Raw genomic sequence first — 12,737 nt, 5'->3', positions numbered from 1 at the left:
CCAATAAGATTGGGTAAGGGGCCAGGAAAAAACTCCAAGGCAGCTGGGTGAGGTCGCTCATGCCTGTAATCCCAGCATTTTGGGAGCCTGAGGTGGGTGGATCACATGAGGTCAGGAGTTGGAGACCAGCCTGGCCAACATGGCAAAACCCCGTCTCTACAAAAATACAAAAATTTGCTAGGCCTGGTGGCAGGCGCCTATAAACCCAGCTACTCAGGAGCCTGAGGCAGAATTGCTTGAGCCCGGGAGGCAGAGGTTGCAGTGAGCCAAGGTGCACCACTGCACTCCAGCCTGGGTGACAGAAGGAGACTCCATGTCAAAAAACACATAAATAAATAAGAACGCCAAAGAGATGATGTTTAAATCTGGACACTGAGAAAGAAAGAGAAGGCATCAAACAGGCAAAGAGTGAAGGAGAAGTTGGTGCAGGTGGAAGGGCAAGGTGAGTTCCTTTCCCTGGCCCAGGTCATTTCCAAACGGTTTTGTCTTAGAGGAGTGAGGCTCTCTGAGGTCTGGATGCTTATTGGCTTCCACTTGTCAAACTCTGACTGCCACCACATGGGCTTTCCCAAAGCCTAGCCCACATACGACGTGTATCAGAGTCACCAGGAAAACTTGATAAGATACAGATACCTAGGCTGCACTCGCCTGAGAGCATTTTAGTGAGCAGTCATAGTGGGGCCCAAGAATGGTGGGGCCCAAGCAGTAATGATGGGGCCCAAGAATGCATTTTAACAAGGACCCCAAGAGGTTGCTCAAGCTTGGAGAATTTCTTTTTGTTTTTTGTTTTTTTTTTGAGGCAGAGTCTCGTCTGTCACCCAGGCTGGAGTGCAGTGGTGCAATTTTGGCTCACTGCAACCTCTGCCCCACTGGGTTCAAGTGATTCTCCTGCCTCAGCCTCCCGAGTAGCTGGGACTACAGGCATGCACCACCACGCCCAGCTAATTTTTGTATTTTTAGTAGGGATGGGGTTTCACCATGTTGGCCAGGCTGGTCTCAAACTCCTGACCTTAGGTGATCCACCTGCCTTGGCCTCCCGAAGTGCTGGGACTGCAGGCATGACCCACCGTGCCTGGCCGGGAATCTCTTGACATACTACATAGTATGAGGAAAATGGGTTGGTGGCAAAAACTGAGCTAGTAAACCACCGCCCATGTTTACAAGCCTGGGTTTAATAGTGACTTTCTCTCAAAAGCTATCTCTGGTCTCTGCATGTCGTTTTTTCTAATATCAGGCTCGGAAGAGTGTAGGCTCTCTTTAGCTTGGAGTTTCTTTTTTTTTTTTTTTTTTTAAGACAGAGTTTCACTCCTGTTGCCCAGGCTGGAGTGCAATGGTGCAATCTCGGCTCACCACAACCTCCGCCTCCCAGGTTCAAGAGATTCTTCTGCCTCAGCCTCCCAAGTAGCTGGGATTACTGCCATGCGCCACCACGTCCGGCTAATTGTGTTTGTTTTGTTTGTTTGTATTTTTAGTAGAGAAGGGGTTTCTCCATGTTGGTCAGGCTGGTCTCAAACTCCTGACCTCAGGTGATCCACCCGCCTCGGCCTCCCAAAGTGCTGGGATTATAGGCTTAAGCCACCGCGCCCAGCCAGCTTGGAATTTCTAAGTGGATTTTTTCTTAAGGAGACCAACCCTCCTGGTTTGCCTGGTACTCTCCCAGTTTTAGCATTAAAAATTCTGTGTCCCAGGAAATCCTCAGTCTTGATATTAATTGGATCCCTAATATCTTTGGCAAATGAGGATGACTGGTTAACCTAGTGTCCTAGAGAAGTGCCTAGCTGGATTCACCTAGAAAAGGGAGGAGTCACTAAAAGTCTCCCCAGTCTCCCTACTGCCAAGGTGCTCCCACCTGCCAAACTTGCCTTCTCATCCATGTGACAAGAGGTACACAGAAGAGTCTTCTCCCTCCAACTCCCCAGCATGCATGCTTTCTCCTGTTTGTTTCTGGACAGTGTCATATCAAAAAGGAGACATGACAATAAGCCAGTAGGTCCCACAGCATAACCAATGTGTTTGAGATGGGAATGATCAAAGCTTTACCAAGGGCTAAGCCCTGGTCTTAGAAACTGGAGCAGAAAGAAACTATCAGCTAACATATTCACAGGGTAATAGAAAAGATGACATATAGCATCGCCATGGCAACCAGCCTCCAAAGGCCCCCAGCACCTGCTCCATTCTACACAATATTTCCCCAAACAGGGATATTTCTTACTTCCTTGTTTTTCTTTTCAATAAAGATGTTAATTTTATTCCCCCTCATTTGTGCTTAATGTTCCAGTAGCAATTTAGCTCCTTCTGGGCTTTCCTAGCCCCTCCCTGTCTCTCCCAAACCTTTTCTTCTCCTGTCTCCCATCCTTCCTTTCCCTTCGATCTCTTTTTTTTCTCTGTCCCCACAATTCCTGTCCCTGCTTCCCTAGACAAATATTTCCAACCACCTCTCTTCTCCCAGAGCTAAGCCCTCTTCCAGGATATTTTATCAGCTGCGGTTCTGATGGCCTAGTAAGTGTTGGTCTTTGCATTGGGTGAGTTCTCTATGGTGCTCTCTTGAAATCCCACGCCCTCTCTTCTGGTGTCTCACCACACCACCACCATCCCATCTCCCTGAGCTAGGGGACACAGTTTAGTAAAACCATTTTAGCCCACAGAGCAGATGAAGGGAAACAAAGGCTGCAAGGTGGAGAATAGTAACAGTTGGGGTTTTTTGAGTGTTGATCATATGCCTGACCCTACTTTAGAGCTTTATATCTATTGTCACATTTAATCTTCATGACAATTCTGATGGCATAGGTTTTATTGACTGATTGATTGATTGAGACAGACTCTCGATCCATCACCCAGGCTGGAGTACAGTGGCCCGATCTTAGCTCACTACAACCTCTGCCTCCCGGGTTCAAGCGATTCTCCTGCTTCAGCCTCCCAAGTAGCTGAGACTACAGGCACCAGCTGCCACATCCTGCTAATTTTTGTATTTTTAGTAGAGATGGGGTTTCACCATGTTGGCCAGGCTTGTCTCGATCTCCCGATCTCAAGTGATCCCCCTGCCTCGGCCTTGTAGGTATTATTTATGACTTCACTTCACACATAGGGAAACGGAGACTTAGACTGGTTATGACACTTGGAAAAGGTCATGGAGCTAGTTAGTAGTAGTGTCAGGATTTAAACCTAGGCAGTCTGACAGCCAAGTCTGCCCCCTTTCATGAAGAGGTTTCAAAAGAAGATCCTGTCTGCATTCATTGAATGGGAATGGGGTCCTGGCAAACCCTTTCATCAGCATTATTTGAAGGGTGCCCCTGGTCAATAAAACTGTCCTGTAAAAAAAACACATGTCCTTCTGCTTAGGTCCATGGGAGCAGTGAAGCAGAAAGGGAGTGGAGGAGCTCTCACCCTGAGCCTCTTCTCTCTTCAGTTCGTTCACACAGTCTCTCATTTGTTCATTCATGCAACACACGTTTAGCAAGTATTTCCCATGAGTTAGGCTCTGCCCAGCCTATCCATAGGAAACTGTGTTGTGGAGAGACCGCTGAGTGTCAGGAATCCTGTCTATGAAGTCTGTCTCTCCACTTGCCATTTCTGAGCTTGTTTCTGGGGACAATGATGCTTACGAGTTGACAGAAATCACGGCTATGGAAACACCTAACATGATGCCTGACATAGAGGGGTTAATTTTTTAGAGGCAGAATCACTTCTACATGGGAAAGTTGTACCAGAAACAAAGCAGGGTGGTGCTGAATTTTCCCAGAGGTGAGATGGGCCTGAAGGTGCTTGGCTCCTACCAACTCTCAGGGTTGGCTCTCTCAAAGCAGGGAAACCCAAGGCTGCCCATGGCATGCCCCTACTTATCTCTTAGAGTAAGCAGCTTCCTCTTTCCAGATGGTTTACTTCTTGTGGTAGAAAAAGAGACCCAGCCCTCTGCAAAGCAAGAATTTGGTTCCAAAACCAATCTTCTGGGCTGACAAAGTCTCTAGATACAGACAGACACTGCTGAGGCAACATTATTATTATTATATTGAGACAATGTATGCCCAGGGTTGCAAGGGAAGGTGGTTCCACAGAACAGACATTAAATAAATTATTTGGGTAAGGGAGGAGAGTACAAACAATTTTAAGGAAATCTGGCCATTTCCATTTCTCTCTCTTGCTTTCTCCTCTCTTATCCTCTTTATTCTCTCAGCTCTGATTTAAGAAGGAGAATGAGTTACTGAGTAAATAGTGGAGGAAGTAGTTTGTGTGTGGATACTTTAGCTGACTTTTGGCTTAATATTAAAGGACCCCCTTGGCCCCACTGCTGAACATTTTCTGCAACTTGGGAAGGCCAGATTGCCTGGGCCTGTGCCTGTCAGGGAGAGTTCATGGCTACACGGTGCAGTGCACTGTGTATAGGAGTGCACATGGGTGCCTTGTGGAGAGAGGCCAAGGGGAAATGTCACAAAGCACAAAGCAGAGGACAGGTTTGAGCTTTTGGGGGAAAGCAGTAATGTGACGGGGGCAGCTGGCCTGGAAGCCAAAGTTTCTGAGATCTAATCTAAACCCTGCACCAAATCACGGATCACCTTGAGCCTGTCATTTCACCCTTCTGTGGCCTTCAAAAAGAGGAGACTGAATTAGATCTTTAATATCTGGTCATTTCTAACGTTATATAACTTGGTGGTTTTGCATGAGATGTTGGGGAGTATGGGGGATTCTAGCCCTTCTTGTTCCTTTGCCCCATGCAAGAATCTCCACTTGAATTTCAGTCTTTTTCCCTTTCCTCACCAAATCAATATATTTCAGGCACCAAATAGAAGCCACAAGGCACTTCTAAATTGTCGAAAATTACAGTCAAGGCTACTTCCATCTCTGCTCATGGTAGTGCTAGGCCAAGCTATAGGGCAGGGTTGAAGAGGGTTGGTGGCAGGAGTCAGGAAGTGGTGGAGCAAAGAAGATTTAACCCCTTAAAAAAAAAAAAAACCACCATATTCATTTCATCCATGATTTGTCTAGTGGCTGAAATGATCCCCTTACTAGGATGGAGACAACTTCACCGTAAGTCACAGCAAAGTTTCATTTGGGAGGAAGTATTGATCACAACTACTCACTGTTACTTAATATTTAAGGATCCAGTTTCTTCTTACTTGACTGGAGCAGCCAGTTGGGGGATAGGCCTACGTGGCTTTGTCTCTTGACTTGATGATGAACTTGTTTGACTTTGGGAAAAAGGCCTATGCCATCGCCAAGCTCTGTGGAATGCAGGCTGGAGAAAGTTTAGTTTCTTCCTACAAAAGTCTCCAGGAGGTCAGGAACAGTGGCTCACACCTGTAATCCCAGCATTTTGGGAGGCTGAGGCAGGAGGATCACTTGAACCCAAGTTTCAAGACCAGTCTAGGCAATAAAGTGAGACCCCCATCTCTACACAATAAAAACTTAGGTATGGTGGAATGCACCTGTAGTCCCAGCTACTCTTGAAGCCGAAGTGGGAGGATTGCTTGAGTCCGGAAGGTCAAGGCTACAGTGAGCCTGTGGCTGTACCACTGTGCTCCAGCCTGGGTGACAGAATGAGACCCTGTCTCAAAAAAAAAAAGAGTCTCCAGGGGGCCTTTGATTCCTAGGAAAGCAGGATGCTTATCCTTTCTCTACTCTCTACTCATCTGCTGAGCCCAAAGGGAGCTGCATGGCAGAATCAAGGCTCATGAACAGATCATTCTATACTTCCTATTGCCCCATTCTTCAGATGAAGAGAATGACCTTGATTCCTATTGGGTATCAGGAGACTTCAGTTGATCTCTGGAAGATGATACTCTGAACCTGCAGGTGAGTAGAGGTCTGAGTAGATGCAGAGCAGTGGAGAGGCCAAAGACTGAATATGAAACTGGACATGAGACACACATCTAAATATTTTCAGAACACTAACTACAAAAAGAAGCCTTGCATTATTTCTGCTCCAGTCTATCTTTTTGGTTGGCTTGATTTTCACCAACTTGCAAACATGGTATTAGTTATGTTTGGGAAAGTGGAGTTGGAATGAGAGTGAAAGTATAAAATGTGAGGCAGAGAAGACAGAGATGTATAGTTTTTAGTCTTCTTTTTCCCATCTGTAAAATGAATCTAAGAAAGACCGATAATAGTAGATCACATTCAAACTAGGAGTTAAAGACACTGAAATTGATTGAATAATTGATATGTATTCCATCAACTTGAAACAAAGGATTTTCCTGATCTCTGATAATTTGGACACACATGAGGGCCAGAAACTTCTCTTTCATAGTAACTAGAATGACTTTCCAGTCTTCATAGGGTCAAAAGAATCTTTTTGGGGTAAAGAAATGGGGAGGGACCTATGGAACCATTAGAATCTATGGTGAACTGAGCTCTACACTAGGATTATTATTATTATTATTTTGAGACAGAGTCTTGCTCTTATCAACCAGGCTGCAGTGCAATGGTGCGATCTCAGCTCACTGCAACCTCCACCTCCTGGGTTCAAGCGATTCTCCTCCCTCAGTCTCCCGAGTAGCTGGGATTACAGGCGCCCGCCACCACGCCCAGCTAATTTTTGTATTTTTAGTAGAGACAGTGGTTTCACCATGCTGACCAGCTGGTCTCGAACTCCTGACCTCAGATAATCCGCCTGTCTCGACTTCCCAAAGTGCTGGGATTACAGGCGTGAGCCACCGTGCCCGGCCTACACCAGGATTTAATTAATGCAATTAACATGAGCTAAGACTCCCCAGGCCCTGGTCTTCTTAGCACTGATTAACAGCTGCTCCAGGATTTGGTCTCTGGTCTGAGGCTTATCTCTTTAGTTTAGCCTTCTCTGGGAATCTTCTGACTGCTGCTGGTTGCTACTTTATCTTGAACAGAATCTCAGCAAACATTTAGCCAGAATCAGAGCCATCAGAAAAGAGCCACTTCAAATTCTCTACCTCCAGAGCTCAGGATGAGCTGAGCTCCCTGGCCCTCACTTCCAGTTTCCTCCTGGGTGTTTCTCTGCAGTGCTAAAATGTTCATCCCTACTCAGTGAACTTTCTAAATAGTCCTCTTCTACTTTATCCTACCATTTCATATACCTGGTTCTGTACACGGAAAATAATTTGGTCTCCCAAGTGCTTTTGCTTAAGGTGATGCAACTGAGCAGACTTCCTGGATCTATGCCATGGCTTGTCTGAAAATGTCAAGTCCTCAGCATCCTATTTGTCTTTCCTGAAACTGGCCCATAATTGAGGCTGATTGTACTGGATTTGCAGTTGTGAAACAGCACCTGCCTTTGACTCAGCAGTGGGCACACTGCTGTGGAAAGTGAGGGGATTATAGAACACGTGGGATTTAATGTGTGGTTAGAAAGGCAATGTAAAGGTTACAGAAAGAAACTGACAATGGGCAGGAAAGAAAAGTCAGAGTTCTCAAAGCAACACTCTCTTAGTGTCTGACGATGATGTTGCTGACAGTGCAGGAGTGGGTGGCAGCAAAAGCTCATGTGTGTGACCTGCTATGTGGTTTGGAGTTGCCTATTGTCTGATTAGTATCTGAGATGACTCTTTAGGAGTGCCTGTCATTGATTAGAATCTGTGATTTGGGGCCATATGCGACATAACTCTGCAAAATGAATACCTCCCCTACCTTGTACAAAGAGAAGTGGCTCAATTTGGCATCTTACCTAGGGATTCCAATTATTCTGGGCAAGTGACTGGCTAGAAGCACTTCATTAGCACAGTAAATGTAGAGACCTCAGCCACAAAACAAAGACAAGATCTACCTGTACTCAGGATAAAATGGACTAGTCATCACACTCCAATTTCTTTGGCCACACACTCTTGGATAATAATTGTTAGCAACAGGGATATCATCTTCAGATTATCAAGGAGAGTTCTGTGTGTGTGTGTGTGTCTGCATGCACACGTGTATACTCAGATAATGAACACTACAGAAGTGCAAATTTAGGCTAGTACATCATTTGTAATGTTAAATTTATAATTTTGGCATATAACATTTGCCAACTATAACTATGTGATTGGTGTTAGTAATGCAAATTCAGATTTGTGCACAATTCTATGTAGTAATCAACCAAACTGTTCTTTACTTTAGTGTCCAGTGTCCTATTACAACAAACATTAAATTTATTCATAGTAAAACCAAAAAAGAAAAACAGAAGAAAAGACAGGAGAACAGACAGAAAGATAGACTGAAGGAAAGATAAAGTGAAAAGATTGAAGGGGGAAGAAGGAAGGAAGGAAGGATCCTAAATAATTGGAAACCACTCAGAGAAGCACCACAGCTAAGGATGCTGTTAATCTCGCCTAACTCTTCTAGTGAGGAAGGTGCTTATTAACAGTTGCAGACAAATATGTATGCATCATGAGATAATCATGAGATTATCTTTTCAGGGTTCTTGGGCATGCGTGTTCTGTAGGGTTGGATTATTGAAGGATAAGCTTCTTGAAAGGGTGTCTAGCAGGTGATGACCTGTGTGATGTGACTAGCAGAAAGATTCTGGGATAGATAAAAATGAAGCTCATTACTGCCTGCTGAAAAAAATAGTCTATTTTCTAGGCCATATAATAAATGCCCTACTCATATGCTGTGAGAGGCACTCAGGCCCTGGGGCATTGCTGATGACTCAGGCAGAAGCCTTCTTTGGGAAGGAATTACATTAGTGACCCACTAGAATCTAAGCTACATGAGGGCATGGACTCCATCTGCTTTTTTCACTGTTGTATCTCCAGAGCCTAGAATATCTGGCATCTGGCATATGATTTGCACTCAATAAATATTTGTTGAATGCATGCATGAATTAGCGGGAGTGTGATCCATTCCACACAGTAAATATTCATTTTTCCAAGTTCTGTTGCTTTTATGTTATGTAAGGGCTTCATGCCTTACATAGCATGCATTATCACAATCCCCAAATGAGTAAAATAAGATATTCATGAACATGATCACAAGCAAAAACCAATTTACCTTTGAGGAGAGGCATGACATGGTCCTATCATCCCCTAACAAGAATGTTGCAGAGTTACAAGAGCCAAGAGACAAGGAAAGTCAATGCAAACTCTGTGGAAACCTTAATGAAACTCTTCTGCACAGCTAGTGAATTGCTCTCAAGTGGCTGATGTGATGAGTAACGATTCTGAAGGTCCATTCAGAAGGAGAGAAATGATGCATATCTGGATGCTAGTCACTACACCTTCCCTAGCTGGAGCTTCACCACTCTGTTGTTCCCTGGATTCTTAACAGAGAGCCCAGCAACAGAGGCAGGGCCATTGTTCACTGGTGCCATCCTGGTGCTCACATCTGGTTTGTCTTTGGAGACTGAGAGGAATTCGGTTAACCTCTCCACTGGCCTCCCCAAGTTCACATACTTCACGTTTTTGTCTGCAAAACTCATACCTGAAATATTCTATTAAACAAAAGAATGAAGCCAAATCTTTGAAGCATCAGACTTGAACCAGTCACTGTCCAAAAGTCAAGAGAGCACTGAATGTGTCTATCATATCTGCAATTTTGTTCTTCCTTACTCCACCTGAGTCTAGGACTGTGAAACCTCCACCACCACTACTGCCCCCACACACTGGGCACCATCCCCTTAATTCCCAAGGGTGGAAGAGCTTCTTGCCTCTGATGCCAGTGCTCCTCAGCACCAGAAGTTGAGCCTCCGCTTTCAAGTAAATTGTCATATCTTTGGTAGTTGAAAATAACCCTGAAAAGAAAAATTCACACGCAGCAAAAAGATGCAGGCTTGCTCCTTAGAGATCCAACTGAAACGCCACGGTCATTGTCAGCAGATTTTTAAAAAGGTGTCTGTCTTTTTTTCAACCCCCCTCCAACTACTTAGCCTAGTGCTTCTGAAGAGTAGCTAAAGCTCTGAGAGTTTCCTCAGATTGGGGAACACAGCCTGCCTTTCAAGGTACCTCTCAGCTCTCTCTCTACTTCAATAAGTGAGATAGGCAATCCGGGGGCCATACCATCTGGGTAATTGAAGTTGAGTCCAGAAAGGTATGCCAAATGGTTCTCCAACTTTGCCCCCCAAAATGTAGCCCTAGAAGTCACTGAATTTACCAAACAATACCCATCCCAATGCAGACCTGCTGCTCCTCAGACTGAGGTTTCAGGAAGCCTGCTTATCAGCAGGGCACAGTTGCAATTTTCCCTGCATAGGGTTGAAACGTGGCAGACTCTTTTCTGGAATGAAACACTTACGAAAATGTGCTTAATCCATTTTTAGCAGTTTGGTAGTTTTTTCATGACAAAATAATATCTTTCATTCTGAAAAACATTTTGCCTATTGTAGCTTCTATACAACTTCAGCACTGCAATAAAGCCAGTTCTCGGGTGAGTATGGCAGCCAGTTGCAAAACAGGAAAAGGGTGCGATACATTTTGGAACATGATGATGCATATACTCCATAGCTTAGTGATGAGAAGAGAAAAAGGTTATGGGGTGAGGCTCAACACAACGTTGTACTCTTCCCACAGCAGAAAATGCTGAGGTCATCTTTGGAAAGTGTTGCTTCCTGTTGTTACAGGGAATTCTTCCAATTCCCACCTCTCCTGCTGTTTGTGAACGCCTAGTGCAGCTTACCCAGTTCTTTACCTCCCTTTCTCCCTTCTATACCCCAAGAGCCTGCTTCCAGCACCCTAGGAAAGCTGTATCTCTTCACCATGTCAGCCAAACATTTGGTCATAGCTACAGCCTCTCACAAGAAGGGATCTTTCCTCTCATGAAGCTGATCCTGCTATGATCTCAGCACTCAGAGATCCAATCTGGCACACAGGAGGTGGGACCGAGACAATAGACAGGTCCCCAGGGGCCTATGCCTTCCATTAGCTAAGAATTCCAGATGACCGAGTGTGAGGCCGCAGACCTAAGGGACAAGGGAATAAAAACTGCTTTCTCATTTTTCCTTATTATCATTACGTCATGCTGGCCTCTCTCTGTGTGTCAAACTTCTTGTTTGACAGAGAGAGATGCAGAGGCACTGAGCTTGAGGAAATATTCCTGCCCAGGATGCATCTTTTAACAAATGTTCACTAATTGCCTATAGTGTGCTGGGGATTTGGTGGATGATGTGTCTCTGCTCATCAGGGAGCTTGCGATAGTAGGGGAGACAGGCAAGTAATCTGGTAATGTGACAGTGTGACAGAGTGCTGCAAAGGTGAGGGTCCTGTGGGAACACATTGGACAGTCTCCTATCCTATACCCAAGGGACATGGGGGCAGCTCCAGAAGTGTTCCTTACAAAATGACAACGAGACTCAGTCCAGAAGGGTAAGAGTGGAGGGAAGAGTACTTTGGATAAAGGGAACAACATACAAAAACACCAGGAAGCTGGAGAGACAGAACAGGAAACTCTAGATGCATCAGTGGGACAAGCAGAGTGACCAACCTTGGGCTGCAGCCTGAGAGCAATGGGGAACTGTTGAAGCAGGAGAAGTGACATGTTGAGTTTTGCCACAGGAAGTGAGTTACACAGAGGAGACAAGAGCCACACCCCTCCCCGCCAGACCCCCAGCAAGGAGCTCTGTCCTGGGAGGTTCTGTAAGGCTCAGTTTCTGCCCATGGAGTGGGGATCATGATGCTTAAAGGAAACAAGGAGGGAGGGTGAGCAGATGAAAGGGCAGCTAAAGATGTTTTAGGTTATTTTACATTTACTGACCATATAGGCATTATTTGAGACTTGTAATGTTCTCAGTCCCAACTCCAAAAGCCCAGCACCCCTGTCTATATTTTAGTGTGCATTTAAAATTCTCTTCTTACCCTTTCATTTATGGTTTGAAAATTTCTCTTCCTTAATAATAACACAGCCAAAAGGGAGCTGCAGCACAGGTTCCACTCACGGCTACCTCATTATTAATCCTTCCATATAGCCAATAGGCCATGTGGAGGAGCTTCCAATCCCCTCAAACCCTCTCTGGCAAGGTTGAGGAGGCCACAGTCAGCTCCAGGATTGAACCTCAGAAGGTGGCACAGACCCCTCCCCACAGCATGCAATCAGAACTCCGCAGAGCTGGCGGGAGAGTTCCCCCTGAGGGAGAAATGAAAACGCTTGGCTTCTCACTGTTGTCGTTTTGGAGGAGAGTGTGAGAGAGTGAAGATACAGGGGAGGTGGAAAGAGAAAACCGGGAATGGAGAGGAAGTGAGGAAGAAAGAAGCAAGGCAGACAGGCACAGAAAGTGAGACGCAGAGAAGAAACTGCGAGGAAGATTGGAGATGGAGATGGACAGAGGGTCCGTGAAGGAAAATTTCAGGGAGGGGGGAGGAAGAGAGGAGTAGAGTGAAAAAAAGAAGAGAGAGCAAGAGGAAATGGGGGAGGGGAGAAGTCTCAGAGGTGTTTAGATAACACACTGGAACCTTTGAGGAAGAGTCAGGCAGGAGAAAATGGAGCTGCCAAAGCACCTTGTTGCTGTAAGCAAATGTGCAGGAGGCAAGGGAAGAGGCCAGCCCACCCCTCTGCCTCTGTCCTCCATCCAGGGCTGAGGGCCACTAGGTCACTGCTCTTGACCCGCTGCCATTCCTCTGAAGCCTGCAAAGCCTACTGTGTCCCAGCCTTGCTCTGCATCTCTGTCCCTTCCCATGAGCCAGGCTGGGGAAGGAGTGTCTGGGAGGAGGAATTCTGAGAGCTATAGAGGACCCCAAGAGACGACCTGAGGGAGGAAAGCAGGCACGGGAATGGCTGCACAACTAACTACAAGGGCGAGGTGGGATGGGGGCAGGTAGACAGATGAAGGGACAGACAGACTGTCAAGCAGGCAGACCGCACTTGAGGAG

At 45.7% G+C, this 12,737-nt stretch overlaps 1 annotated feature.

Annotated features, from left to right (window-relative positions):
* Positions 10,027-10,900: an enhancer, noted in NCBI's record as "NANOG-H3K27ac-H3K4me1 hESC enhancer chrX:102985791-102986664 (GRCh37/hg19 assembly coordinates)". NCBI's record gives its function as "activates a minimal SCP1, AML or CMV promoter by ChIP-STARR-seq in primed H9 embryonic stem cells {active_cell/tissue: H9 hESC(primed)}" and the evidence as "EXISTENCE:reporter gene assay evidence [ECO:0000049][PMID:30033119]".

This window comes from Homo sapiens, chromosome X, assembly GCF_000001405.40.
Source record: "Homo sapiens chromosome X, GRCh38.p14 Primary Assembly".
NCBI classification, from domain to species: domain Eukaryota; kingdom Metazoa; phylum Chordata; class Mammalia; order Primates; family Hominidae; genus Homo; species Homo sapiens.
This window is presented reverse-complemented; position numbering and strand designations above follow the sequence as displayed.